This window comes from Homo sapiens, chromosome 14 (genome assembly GCF_000001405.40).
Source record: "Homo sapiens chromosome 14, GRCh38.p14 Primary Assembly".
In the NCBI taxonomy this organism is placed as follows: domain Eukaryota; kingdom Metazoa; phylum Chordata; class Mammalia; order Primates; family Hominidae; genus Homo; species Homo sapiens.
The window spans coordinates 31,083,722-31,098,536 of NC_000014.9; the positions used below are offsets into that span (position 1 = coordinate 31,083,722).

At 44.4% G+C, this 14,815-nt stretch overlaps 1 protein-coding gene across 9 annotated transcripts in view; it reads left to right on the plus strand.

Annotated features, from left to right (window-relative positions):
- Positions 1 to 12,729, plus strand: part of AP4S1 (adaptor related protein complex 4 subunit sigma 1) — a 71,345-nt gene extending 58,616 nt beyond the window's left edge. For 6 of the 9 annotated variants that reach the window (XM_011536371.4, NM_001254727.2, NM_007077.5 and 3 more), the window contains one exon: positions 1,048 to 2,081. In XM_011536371.4, coding sequence (XP_011534673.1) covers positions 1,048 to 1,161 — 114 coding nt within the window. In that variant the 3' untranslated portion in view covers positions 1,162 to 2,081. Of the gene's footprint in view, positions 1 to 1,047; positions 2,082 to 9,185 lie in introns of those variants that run through there. The other 3 variants (NM_001254729.2, NM_001128126.3, NM_001254728.2) reach the window with 1 other exon arrangement.

The window sequence follows — 14,815 nt, forward strand, 5'->3', positions numbered from 1 at the left end:
CTGGTCTCAAACTTCTGGGCTCAAGCAAGCCTCCTGCCTTGGCCTCCCAAAGTGTTGACATTCTTAAAAGGTTACTACCCTTAGCCATCTGAAAAATATCGGATTAAAAACCCCTGACTCTCCTCTGCTTCATACATAGTCCTTTTAAACCATCACATGTTCAAGGAGGACCTCTGCAGACTAGTTACACAGCAGAAAGATGAGGGGATCTTGTCGAAGCTCAGCTGCAGTTCCTGCTCCATCTGTGGAGGGGCGTAGACATCCTGCATCACTGTGTGGTAGCATGTAGCCAGGCACCTACTGGAGCAGCCAGCACTGCTTATATCCACTCTGCCAGGAAAGCTCCCTTAGGCCTTAAAAGGTTGAAAACAGGAAAACTGCTATAATGGCAACCTGGATTTGGTCCTTCCACCACTAACAATACATAATCTTGTTTGTGTTTGCTCAGGCTTAAGAAAGCCCTCCTTGTCAGCCCACATGGGACAGACGTGAGTTAAAGCTTGGTTTTGGTACAGGAGAAGGAAGTCAAAACCTGATCAATTCCCAGGAAGCCCCCTGTCTTTTTCTCCAGAGGCTTTTCCCCCTGATTTTTTAAGGCTAGGGAAGTTTCTGAGAACCTGTACAGTTAGACTTGGAAAAATACAGTACACCGTTTACATTTCTCCCTAGTATGGACTTGTTTTACTTCTAGTAAGACTGACATCACAGAGCAAGACAGATTGGATTTTAAAAAGAAAGGACCTAAGCATAAGAAATCAGGACAGAAACTCTGGCTTGTTGAAAAGCCTTCCATTTAGTGGAAACCTCTGGTGCAGTGGTGTCAGGTGGGGCGGGCTGCCCCCTTGGGACCAAGCACGTCAGTGACCTAAATCATTCACGTGCTATGAATACACTCCTGTGCACTCTTCAGTTCCACTCCACCCGCCCGGCTGAAGTGAGGCCTGAAGATTTGTGAAGCCTGTTTCTACAGGGAGACTTTGCCCCATCACATACCTTGGTAGATTTATTTAAGACTTCAAATTTTATGAATTAAGGTGTTTTTTTTAGGAACCAATTGATGAACTTCCCAAAATATGCTCAGCCCTGGAGCCCCAGCAGACTTGCTTTTCTCCAGACAGTTCATCATTCAAAGGAGCTGCCTCCACCACCCCCATCTACTGAATAGCCAGGGGAGGGCACCAATGAACAGCACAGTATGGGAGACACACCAACTACTCTTCAAATCAGTGCGTACCTGCTCTACGCGTGAAGGTACAGAAAACCTCCACGGCCTTTTCAGTATTTGGTGCCTTTAAAGAGGCCTAAGGACTTAGTTTATTTGGGCTAGACTGGAATGCAGCAGTACTGCCTTCAGGCCTGGACAGCCAGGGGCTCCTCGGGCCCTGTGCTCTAGAAGGCCCATTCTATGTCTGCTTCGCCAGCACCCTTTCCCCATCATGGGGCAGATGCCCACCAGCCCTCACTATCTACTGCTTGACCATCCTCTGACTTCCTGGGCCCCTAGAATTTATAAGGTCCCTAGATATCCCAGAACCTGCCACCATGGCCTCTGCAAGCCTCTCCTCCACCTTCACCCCAAGACTAGGGGCAGGAATGATAAGAAGGCTGGGTGGTAGCTGGGATGTCCCACCTACGTGCCTGGGGAGAGAAGCAAGAGCAGGCTGGAGTCTCTACTTTGTATTCTTGTGAGGCACAAATATAGGCTAGAATCCAGGCCCCACAAATATAGGCTAGAATCCGGAATGTTTTCTTGATTTAAAGACATCTTTAGACCGGGCACAGTGGCTCACGCCAGTAATCCCAGCACTTTGGAGGGCTGAAGCAGGAGGATTGCTTGAGGCCAGGAGTTTGAGACCAGCCTGGGCAACATAGGGAGACCCAGTCTCTACAAAAAAATTTAAAAAGCCAGGCATTGGTGGTGTGTGCCTATAGTCCCAACTACTAGGGAGGCTGAGGTGGGAGGATCACTTGAGCCTGGGGGACTGAGGCTGCAGTGAGCCATGATTGTGCTACTGCACTCCAATCTGGCAACAGAGCGAGACCTTGTCTTTAAAAATAAAAATAAAAACATCTTTACAACATTCCTGTTTGTATTTTATAAACTCAAAATCTCAAAGACTGAGCAGTTGATTCTAGAGCCCTAAAGCTCTGGTGGGTTGTGTGAAAAAACCCTGATTCATGTCCCTTCTATTGCAGTTGAGGGTGGGACATAGGAAGGGCATCAATGCTGTGTGCACTCTCTGTGACTCCGCCAGCATCTGCCATGGTGCTTCCTGGAGAATGATGGTGTGCAGGCAACAGTGATCAGCACCACCATGGTTTGCAGACAGGCCTCGATCAGGCCCACTGTGGGCATCTACCTCTAGTTCCATCAGCTTCCTAAAATCTGAAATACTTTTAGAGATCCGGAAACCAGAATAGGGTTTCTCCAAGTGGGAGATAATGTCAGCCTGATTTAATGAGAAATTGCAAAAATACTTGTTCAAACTGAGGCTATAGGAATACCAGCCAGAAGAACAAACAAATTCTTCAGGGAAGCATCCAGCACTGAAGTGGCAGCTTCTAAATGAACTGAAATTTTCTGCATGTTCTCTCAGAAAGTTACAGTGTTAATTAATTAATAAAATCATTACAAAAGAATTTCTTCCGAGGTATGATGGAGCATGTGATGACTTCAGGAATGGCTTGATTTGTTTGTTTGTTTGTTTGTTTGTTTTTTGAGACAGTCTCACTCCAGGCTGGAGTGCAGTGGTGTGATCTTGGCTCACTGCAACCTCCGCCTCCCAGGTTCAAGCTATTCTCCTGCCTTAGCCTCCGGAGTAGCTGGGATTACAGGCATGCACCACCGCACCTGGCTAGTTTTTTTGTATTTTTAGTAGAGACGGGGTTTTGCCATGTTGGCCAGGCTGGTTTCCAACTTCCGACTTCAGGTGATCCGCCCCCTTTGGCCTCCCAAAGTGCTGGGATTATAGGCATGAGCCACCACGCCCAGCCAGGAATGGCTTGATATTATCAGAAAAGAGTAAACCAGCTCCACTTTCCTTGAAGGTTATATTTAGAGTCGTAGGAGCCGGATACTTTGGAGCTAGGAGAAACCTACACAATCATCAGGTAAAAACCTCACTTTTAAAAATTAATGTAAAAAAATTTTTTTACAGTCAGGGTCTTGCTCTGTTGCCCAGGCTTGAGTGCAGTGTTGTGATCATAGCTCACTGCAGCCTCAAACTCCTGGGCTCAAGCAATCCTTCCACCTCAGCTTCCAGAGTAGGAAAACAAAAATATCAAGGAAAAAAAAAATAGTTCTGGGAATACAGACATGCACCACCACACCCAGCTGGCTAATTTAAAAAAATTTTTTAAAATAAAAACAGCATTTCACTATGTTGCCTAGGCTGGTCTTGAACTCTGGAGCTCAAGCGATCCTCCCACCTTGGCCTCCCATAGGGCTGGGTGAGTCACTGTTGGCTGGTGTAAAACCTCACTTTTTAGATAAAAAGGCTGAGGTCCAAAGAGGTTCTGTGACATGTCCCAATCCATAGAGCTACTTTAGGGAAGAGCTGGTACTAGTTTCTGGGTTTCTAGGGCCCTTGACTCTAGGATTATAAATTGGGTAGGTTAAATTTGACTTTTTTTTCTTTTTATTTTTCTTCTCTGAGACGGAGCTTTGCTCTGTTGTCCGTGCTGGAGTGCAGTGGTGCAATCTCAACTCATTGCAACCTCTGTCTCCCACGTTCAGGTTATCCTCCTGCCTTAGCCTCCTGAGTAGCTGGAATTACAAGCCTGCCACCATGCCTGGCTAATTTTTGTATTTTTAATAGACACAGGATTTTGCCATTTTGGCCAGGCTGGTCTTGATCCCCTGACCTCAAGTGATCTGTCCACCTTGGCCTCCCAAAGTGTTGGGATTACAGGTGTGAGCCACTGCACCTGGCCTAAATTTGACATATTTTTTAAAAATTAATCATCTGGAGTAGACTGTGGCAATTTAGTCTCTAATAAAACATGCCTGTCACCATGGTGCCTTGGTGTTGTCGAAGCTTTTTTGTGAATAAGGGGAGATGTTTTAGAGAAATGCCTTTGGTTGGAAGAGTCAGAAAGGATGAAAAAATTTGAGAGTATCTGTGAATGTCTTGTTGAGAACATGCTCTCCAAAAGTGGAGTTCACATTCAGATTTCAAAACATCTTTTTTCCTTTTGAAAATATTAAATGGAAAGCCTCGTTGCCAGAGAGTGAGGACTGGCCTGTGGGTCCGAGGGAACGTGTGCAGCTGTTCCTCCATGGGAAGGGCAGGCATTGAGAGACGAGGGACCCAGGGCCTTCTCCAGCATGGGAGCTCTAGCCAGGGCCATGGTGGGTGATGAGAGTCTTGGATAGGAACAGTCCCCAGGATTCAGCCAGTAGCCCGGAAGATGTGAACGTTGCAAATCTGACAGTTCTGCCTCCAGGTTTTTTTTGGCTCCCACTAGCCTTGACCACTTTCCTGTTTCCTTTCAGGAGCCCGCTAGGTGCCATATTCATCCGCCAGCATTCCTCACCACCAGGTCCCTCTGCTTTAACCCTATTCCTTTTGTTCCATTTTTGTGGGTTCTGTTTTAGTCAGGAATAGTGACAGCAAGTTATGAGAAGCAAGAGAGATTTAGGGGAAAAATGAGAATAATAACAGGCTCGTTGACCCACCTCTGACTTTCATATTTAATTTTGCATAAGCCTACATAAACTTTAAGCAAAACCACAGCTGGGTATCCTGTTGTTCTCAGAATATGAGTAGGCCTTTAATGAAAACCTACTTTAAAAAAAGATAACAGCCAGGCGCGGTGGCTCACGCCTGTAGTCCAAGCACTTTGGGAGGCTGAGGCAGGCGGATCACCTGAGGTCAGGAGTTCGAGACCAGCCTGGCCAACATGGTGAAACCTCACTTCTACTAAAAATACAAAAATTAGCGGGGCGTGGTGGCACGCACCAGTAATCCCAGCTACTCAGGAGGCTGAGGCGGGAGGATCGCTTGAACCTGGGAGGCGGAGGTTACAGTGAGCCAAGATTGCACCACTGCTCTCCAGCCTGGGCAACAGAGTAAGACTCCATCTCAAAAAAAAAAAAAAAAAAAAAAAGTCCTTTTCAGTGGCCTCATTAGCAAGAGACAAAATGTGAACAGGGCCGGGCACAGTGGCTCATGCTTGTAATTCCAGCACTTTGTGAGGCCGAGAAAGGCAAAGTGCCGCACTTCAGCCCAGGGGTTCAAGACCAGTCTGGGCAAGATAGTGAAACCCCGTTCCTCCAAAAAATATAGAAATTAGATGGGCGTGGCAGCGCACCTGTGGTCACAGTTAATTGGGAGGCTGAGGTGGGAGGATCACTTGAGCACAGGAGGTCGAGGCTGCAGTGAGCCAAGATTGTGCCACTGCACTCCAGCCTGGGCAACAGAGTAAGACTTTGTCTTAACCAAAAAAAAAAAAAAAAAAGTGAACAGAAGACTATACTATACTACAAGAAGAATGTCTCCAGGACTATGCAGAATCTTCATGATGATAGCCTTCTATATGGTAGTATTTTCTGGGGGAAATGTGAACACAGTGGCCCTTGGCCACTTACCTAATTTGGTGGGAAATTAAAGTATGAATAATGAGAAAGCAAGTTTTCCCACCCTACATATTTTGTTAAAGAACACTTAGCTAGAATATTTTTTAAAAAAAGAAATAAAATGAGAAACCAAGGGATCTGAGACCCAAATCTAGAGTTAGAAATTGTAGTTTCTAGGTTGGTCTCTGCCGTGGAATTCCTTTTGAGGTTCCATTTGAGTCTGTGCTGCTCAGTTTCTCACTTGTTAAAGGATAATTTGATTGCCACTATGGTGTTAAAATACTCATGATGGAAAAGTGTTTTATTTTCCAGAGATCAAAATTCCAATGTTGGGGCCAGGCGTGGTGGCTCACGCCTGTAATCCCAGAACTTTGGGAGGCTGAGGCAGGCAGATCACTTGAGGTCAGGAGTTATAGAGACCAGCCTGGCCAACATGGCAAAACCTCGTCTCTACTAAAGATACAAAAAAACTAGCTGGGTGTGGTGGCACATGCCTGTACTCCCAGCTACTCAGGAGGCTGAGGCACAAGAGTTCCTTGAACCTAGGAGATGGAGGTTACAGTGAGCCTAGATCACCCCACTCCACTCTAGCCTGAGCAACAGAGAGAAGCTGCGTCTAAAAAAAGATAAAATTCCAATGTTGGGACCATAAACATTTCAATCACTGTATTTATTTTTATTTTCATTTTTATTTATTTATTTATTCTGAGACAGAGTCTTACTCTGTTGCCCAGACTGGAGTGCAGTGGCACAGTTTTGGCTCTCTGCAACCTCCGCCTCCGAGGTTCAAGTGATTCTCCTGCCTTAGCCTCCCGAGTAGCTGGGATTACAGGCGTGTGCCACCATGCCCAGCTAATTGTATTTTTAGCTGAGACAGGGTTTCACCATATTGGCCAGGCTGGTCTCGATCTCCTGACCTCACGTAATCTGCCCACCTCAGCCTCCCAAAGTGCTGGGATTACAGGTGTGAGCCACCGTGCCCGGCCTCATTTCAATCACTGTAATTAAAAAGTTGATTTCAAGTGGCACTAATATTCCAGGAGCCCTACGATGTTCAATTCCAATCCACATGATGTGAAAATTCAGAAAGGCTCTTAGGTTTGTAGGTTGGGAGAAAGTGGACTTCAGTAACTCCGCTCTTTGGGAGATTGTTTCTAGCTCATGTCAGCTCAACCTTAGGGAGCCCATGAAAGAAAACAAGTTGCCTGAGGATCTTTAGAGTCAGTCAAGTTCATTATAGCCTGAAGGTAAGACTGTCTTTCAATAGCCATTCTGAGCTCACTACATTAGTATACCAACAGTCTGGGCCCTTCTTACTTCCTCCTATTTCAAATGTCACCATTGCAGTGTGTTTATTCCATGGGCTTAGCATATAGGGTATTTTTTGGTCCCTGCTTACCTGGCACATGGCCTAAATGCCATTACTCTTGGCCTCACCAGGGTGTACAAGTTGCTCATAAACCAAATCAAGATGTAAACAACAGCTGGATTCTTATTTTAAAAGAGTCACAAGATTCCAGGGGGAAATCAGCTTTCAGGCCTTTGCCTCACATTGGATTTGGTCTGTAGTTTCCCCATATAGTGCCAGAAAGCTGCATGATTATTAGAGTTTGAGTCAGATACACAGATACACAGGCACAGTCACATGTCCACAGTATACAGTGACCTCACTGAGCAACTCATGTTTCCAGGATGTTGGGAAATTGACTTGCTGGAGGACCTTGTCCTTGTTCCTTGTAATGTGGGGATGTCAGTGGTTTATATGATTTAGCAGTAAATTCTGATCTGAATTTCAAAACAATTGGGCAGTTGCTCAAGGGGACATCTGAACAGCAGATCATCTGCTTGCCAAAGATGGGGCAGTCCACAGAGCAGCTTGATCCCCGAACTAATTCATGGGTTAAAATTAGATTTCCTTGTATCTCAAAGAAAGTTATCTTGGAGAAGGCGACATTTTCAAAGGCACTAAGGCTTTCATTGCCCTTAGTGAATATAACAGGAAGGTTCTCCAGGCCATTTTTCACGTAGCCACCTGTGCTTCTTAGCTCTGCCTTTCTATATATACCTGGCTGCCATTCCCACTTTGTCTCACCTAAGTTCTGGCTTCTGGGTCTAGTGAACAGGTTAGAGTCAAGGGCCTAACATTCCAGTCCCAGTTTGGCCGTGGGACAAAGCAATCATCTGTATAATTGAAAGACAGTATTAATAGGTATATCAGAATAACGCTTTTTTTTTTTTTTCTGGGTCACTTAAGGACAGTTCCCATGGGTCCTTGGAAAACAGTTTATTCTGCTGGAGGACTATTTGCACAGAGCTTAATGAGATATTCACACAGAGCCTAATAAAAACTTTAAAGTCATTCACCATTTGTCCTATTCTGTGTAGTTGCACTTCACTAAGCAAATACAGTGTAGACTTTGAATATCTGGTCTGGTTGAAAAAAATCAAAGGGAACAATTCACTTTACAAAGATTTAATTTTGAACTCCGCTAGTGCATTTAATTACCTATTTGTTGAATGAAGTTTATTTGAAACAATCTGTCAACTGTTTTTGTTTTTGTAACAGACCAGGATCATGCTCTTTAAGTAGACAGAGAACTTCAGATATTAAGGTGTAAAACTGAGAAACATTCATTGTCATCATCTCATTCCAGTTCCCCTTCTTTCACCAAAGAAAAGTTAGGTATTCAGTTGAAGGGATTCTTGAGGGAAGTATTTAGTTCTTTGTGGTTTGCTAGACATCATAGTCTAACAATATTTTCTTCTTTCCCCATGCCCCATACTAACTTCCCAGTAAGAACACCTGTAAGCCAAAGTGGCTCCATCATTCTCAAATGACTTCTTAGAACTACCCATTTGTAAGAGATACTGTCTTGAAATCCAGAAATTTTATTATGCCCTGCCTTCTTCATTCATTTTCTCCTCATAGTTATTTTTACATCAGTCTGTCTGACAGAGAAGAAAACTGAAGGTACAAGGCATTTATTTTGGGGTGGAGGTTTGGGGGCTGAGGAGGGAGGTGTCTAGCCCCTCCTGAGGAGCCTATAAGCAGAGCAGTCAAGCCCAAGCTTTGGGTTTAAATTCAAACCTGGCATTTACTAGCCATGTGACCTTGGACTATGCTTTGAACCTGTTTGATCCTGGGTAAACTGAGGATAATATGTAACAACATACATCAGAGATTTGTAGAGGGCTGAAACTCAACACACTGTCTGGAACGGGAGTATTCAACAAATCGTTGCTACTGTTACTATTATTGTCTGGGAAGACAACACTATTTTTGAGTTAAGGTCATTCTCTTGCCACATGACACTGCTGTGTTCTCTAGCACTTAGTAGACCCCCTATCCCTTTGGTTAAAAAATGTAGCTGTTTCATTTTTATCCCTACTTATCCTGTTAGCTTAACCAAGGTGAAACTAGGTATGTATATATGAAGGTAACAATTTCTAATATGGATGCCAGTTTTAAATTTAATTTCAGAAATTTTGTACAAAAAACCTCATGCTTAGGCTAATTTACACTGGGAACACTCTAGGTTAAGCCATAAATTTTTACTGAATGTTAATAATTTTTAACTTTAAACTAATTTCCTTAATATAACCGTAGATAATGTTTAATTTGGATAAAGTACACATCATTTTGGATGAGATGGTGTTAAATGGCTGCATTGTGGAAACTAACAGGGCAAGAATTCTTGCCCCTCTACTAATTCTTGATAAGATGTCAGAAAGCTGAAAGGAAGTCTCTTCGAGACAATATGGATTTATCAGAAATGCGAGTACCGTGGAATACATCTCAACATGTTAACCCAGAAGAATCTGGAAGACCACAATTACAAAATGGGGTATCCTTCCAAAGACATTATAAATAGGCATTTTCCACAGTTCCTAAAAAGAAAACACAACTGTACTTTAAAATATGTACAAAGAAAAAAATTTCTTTAAACTGAGAGAGAAGTTTTATTTTCTAATTGTAAACATATCTGTCGCACTTTAAATTCTGTTGAGCACCTAAGGAACCCTTCTTGGTCTATGCTTCTTTTGCAAATTGAATTCAGGAATAGCAGGATGGTAGTGGGAAGAAAGTATGGCAGTTTTCCGTCAGCCAATAAAGTTTTAAAATTTAAACACAAGGCATTTTGAGTAACGCTGTTTTCTGAAAGCTATTTTTTTTTTTTTGAGACGGAGTCTAGTCTAGCTGTGTCACCTGGCACATTCTCGGCTCACTGCAACCTCCACTTCCGGGGTTCAAGCGATTCTCCTGCCTCAGCCTCCGAGCTGGGACTACAGGCATGCACCACCACACCTGGCTAATTTTTGTATTTTTAGTAGAGACAGGGTTTCACCATGTTGGCCAGGCTGTCTCAAACTCCTGACCTCAGGTGATCTGCCTGCCTCAGCCTCCCAGAACGCTGGGATTACAGATGAGCCACAGTGCCTGACTTCTGAAGGCTGTCTTATTCCTTTAAAAGGCTTAGTAAAATTAACTTTTTAAGAGGTGTTTTTTTGTTTGTTTTTTTGTTTTGTTTTTTAAGACGGAGTCTTGCTCTGTCACCCAAGCTGGAGTGCAGTGGTGTGATCTCAGCTCACTGCAACCTCCACCTCTGGGTTTAAGCAATTCTCCTGCCTCAGCCTCCTGAGTAGCTGCGACTACAGGCATGTAGTCCCCAGGAGACTGAGCTGTGATTACAGATGTGAGCCACCATGCCCTGCCCGGTTTTATGTAAAGCCCAGCTAATTTTTGTATTTTTAGTAGAGATAGGGTTTCACCATGTTGGCCAGGCTGTTCTTGAACTCCTGACCTCAAGTGATCCACCTGCTTCAGCCTCCCAAAGTGCTGGGATTACAAGCATGAGCCACCATGCCCAGCCAAGAGGTGTTTTTTGTTTGTTTGTTTTTAAGAGAAGCAGGTCTTGCTGTGTTGTCCAGGCTGGACTGCAGTGGCTTTTCACAAGCATGATCATGTTGTACTACAACCTTGAACCTTCCTGGCCTGGCTCTAAAAGCTTTGTAATGTGGGGCTGGTGCAGTGCCTCACACCTGTAACCCCTGCACTTTGGGAGGCTGAGGAAGGAGGATCGCTTGAGGCCAGAAATTCAAGACCAGCCTGGGCAACATAGACCTCATCTCTACAAAAAATGCAAAAATCAGCCGGGTGTGGTGGCACATACCTGTAGTCTCAACTACTCGGGAGTCTGAGGCAGAAGATTTCTTGAGCCCAGGAGTTCGAGTCTGCAGTGAGCTATGATCGTGTCACTGCACTCCAGCCTGGGTGACAGAGTGAAACCCTGTCTCAAAAATAAAAAAGTCCGAGTGCGGTGGCTCAGGCCTGTAATCCCAACATTTTGGGGGGCCAAGCCAGGAGGATTGGTTGAGCCCATTAGTTCAAGACCAGCCTGGGCAACACAGCAAGACCATATCTCTACAAAAAATAAATAGGTGTGATGGCTCATGCCTGTAATCCTAGTACTTTGGGAGGCCGAGGCAGGCAGATCACTTGAGGTCAGGAGTTTGAAACCAGCCTGGCCAACATGGCAAAACCTTGTCTCTACTAAAAATACAAAAAGTTAGCCAGGCATGGTGGCAAGCACCTCTAATCTCAGCTACTCAGGAGGCTGAGGCAGTAGAATTGCTTGAACCCGGGAGGCAGAGGTTGCAGTGAGCCGAGATCATGCCACTGCACTCCAGCCTGGGCGACAGAGTGAGACCCTGTCTCTAAAAATAAGTAAATAACTAATTAAAAAGTTAGCCAGCTGTGGTGGTGAGCACCTGTACTCCTAACTACTCAAGAGGCTGAGATGGGAGAATTGATCAAGCCTAGGAGTTTGAGGCTGCAGTGAACTATGATCACAACACTGTACTCCAACCTGGGTAATGGAGTGAGGCCCTGCCTCAAAAACACAAAAACAAAACAAAAAAACTTTTATAACATGTACCTAACAAAGATGCAGAGTTAAATTTTATTTGCCAGTTTGTAAAAGCCTTTGATACTCATTTTAAGGGCACTTAGTAATTACAATGCCATTATGTAATTAACTCTATAGAGAACATTACTTTCAAATAATGGATGGTCAGACATTAAGACAGCCCCAGAGAGCCCCTACAGCTATCCTTTATCCCGTTTTTTGTTTGTTTTTTGGAGACAGCATCTCCGTCTCCTAGGCTGGAGTGCAGTGGTGTGATCATGCCTCACTACAGCCTGTACCTCCTGGGCTCAGGTGCTCCTCCCACCTCAGCCTCCTGAGTAACTGGGACCACAGGTGCGCACCCCCTCCACCCAGCTAATTTTTGTATTTTGTTGTAGAGATAGGGTTTCACTATGTTGCCCAGACTGGTCTCGAATTCCTGCAGTCACATGATCCATCTGCCTTCGCCTTCCAAAGTGTTGGGATTACAGGCCTGAGCCACTGTGCCCAGTCTTTTTATGCCACATTTTAAAAGGTTTGCTTATTAATAAGCTTACTGTTAATGAAATTTAGTTCAAAGTTTAAAAGTAGAATGCAGCCAGGCATGGTGGCTTACGCCTATAATCCCAGCACTTTGGGACGCCAAGGTGGGTAGATCATTTGAGGTCAGGAGTTCAAGACCAGCTTGGCCAACATGGTGAGACCCTGTCTCTACTAAAACTACGAAAAATTAGCCGGGCATGGTGGCACGCGCCTATAATCCCAACTACTTGGGAGGCTGTGGTAGGAGGATCACTTGAACCCAGGAGACAGAGGTTGCAGTGAGTTGAGATCGAGATTGTGCCACTGCACTCCAGCCTGGGCACAGAGTGAGATTCCGTCTCAAAAAAAAAAAAAAAAAAAAAAGTAGAAAGCAAGAAAGTGTCTCTGTACAGGTAGGCATGAAATGAATCCTTCTCTTCCTCCCCTTTACTCCTTTAACCCCTTCTCCTGCAATGTCTTGAAGTAAATTACTGTCATTACAGAAGAGCAATGCACTGCATCCCCCCAAAACCTTTCTATATGCTTTTGCTACCCCGTTAACAGAAGAATATACAGAACTGTCTTAGGCGAAAGTATGTACAGTAGTCCCTCTCTTATCCACTGTTTCGCATTCTGTGGTTTGTGTTACTCATGGTCAACTGAGGTCCCAAAATATTAAACAGAAAATTCCAGAAATAAACAATGTATAAGTTTTAAACTGCATGCCATTCTGAGTAGTGTGATGAAATCTTGCACCATCCCACTTTGTCCTGCTCTGTCCCGCTCCGTCTTGCCTGGGAGGTGAATCGTCCCTTTGTCCAGCATATGCATGCTGTATACACTCCCCACTTGACAGTCATTTGGTAACTGTCTTGGTTACCAGATGGACAGATCATGAGAAGAGTGAGTACAGTGCAATAAGGTCTTGAGAGAGACTACATGCATATACATATATATATATAAAATTATTTTTCGTTTTTTTTTAAAGACAGGGTCTTGCTCTGTTGCCCAGGCTGCAGTGCAGTGGCATGATTACGGCTCACTGCAGCCTCAACCCCTTGGGCTCAAGCAATCCTCCCATCTCAGCTTCCCAGGTAGCCGGGACCACAGGTGTGTGCCACCCCACTCAGCTAATTTTTTTTATTTTTTGTAGAGACAAGGTCTCCATATGTTGCCCAGGCTAGTCTTGAATTCCTGGGCTCAAGCGATCCTCCTTACCTCAGCCTCTGAGTGCTGGGATTACAGGTATGAGCTAACACACCTGGCCATCTTTTGTTTTGTAAGAGATGGGGTCTCTGTTACCCAGGCTGGATTTGAACTCCTGGGCTCAAGCCATCCTCCTGCTCAGCCTTCCAAGTAGCTGGAGCTATAGGTGCACACCACCATGCCCAGCTTTCACATAACTTTCTTATATTGTAATAATTGTTCTATTATTGTTGTTAATCTTACTGTGCCTAATTTATAAACTTTATCATAGGTATGTATGTATAGGAAAAAACATTCTCTTTCTCTCTCTATATATAGGATTTGGTACTATCCTCAGTTTCAGATATCCCCAGTTTCAGATATCCACTGGGGGTCTTAGAACTTATCCCCCAAGAATAGGGAGGTCTACTATATATATGCATGTAGGGGTGGGAGGTCAGGTGCAATGAAGAAAGTAGAAATCTTTTTCCTTTAAATATAGAGACGGGGTCTCACTATGTTCCCCAGGCTGGTCTCAAACTCCTGGGCTCAAGCAATCCTCTCACCTCAGCCTCCCAAAGTGCAAGAATTACAGGCATGAGCTACCCTGCCCGGCCAAAGTCTATTTTTGGTATATTAAGATACTGTCCCAGCCTATGGAATGATCCAATAGTTCATTCTTCTGTGACACTCCAGCCTCTAAAATAGGACATAAATGCATTTTTTTTCTTGAGACAGTCTCGCTCGGTTGTCCAGGCTGGAATACAGTGGCATGATCTCAGCTCACTGCAACCTCTGCCTCCCAGGTTTAAGCAATTCTCCTGCCTCAGCTTCCCGAGCAGCTGGGATTATAGGCGTGTGCCACCACACTGGACTAATTTTTGTATTTTTAGTAGAGATGGGGTTTCATCATGTTGGCCAGGCTGGTCTCAAAACCCTGACCTCAAGTGATTCGCCCGCCTTGGCTTCCCAAACTGCTGGGATTACAGGCGTGAGCCACCACGCCTGGCCAAATGCACGTTTCAGAGTTATCATTCAGCACTGTTCCGTTTGGTTTGTCTGTGTATTGTGGGGGGTAGGCAGTGGAGCTTTTTTTTATCCTGTTCTCAAAATCCACTTGCAATATCAAGGTTTATGTCTATAAAAATGCAGTCAGTCAATAGTGGACTCCAAACCTGAGTTGTTTTTGGACTCGTTCAGGAAGGCAAAAGGAAGGCTTCTGACCTGTGGGAACAGTGAGTGGTCTGTGTGTACAGATACACCTTTGTATCAAGTAGCCAAGGTCTGGGGAAAGCCCAGCGTAGACCGAAGTGCTATGGAGGGTCTTTCTCAGACACATTAGCTGGGAAACACTGTCCTAGTTGGTAGGTACTTCATCAGTTGCACATTCAGGTAACTGCTGAAACTGGTACACCAGAGTAGCTAGGGAGTGAACAAAATTAATTTTTGGGTCACACCAAAATAGTAGTTGAATTACATCTCGGCACAGATTTTAGAACCTTGAGAGAATAACAGTTAAAAAAAATAGTTGGTAGGTATCATAGGAAACAATATTTAAGAACTTACAGTTGAGGTGGAGACCCCGGTAGATGTCTCAGAACACTTGACTCATGCATATGTGTTC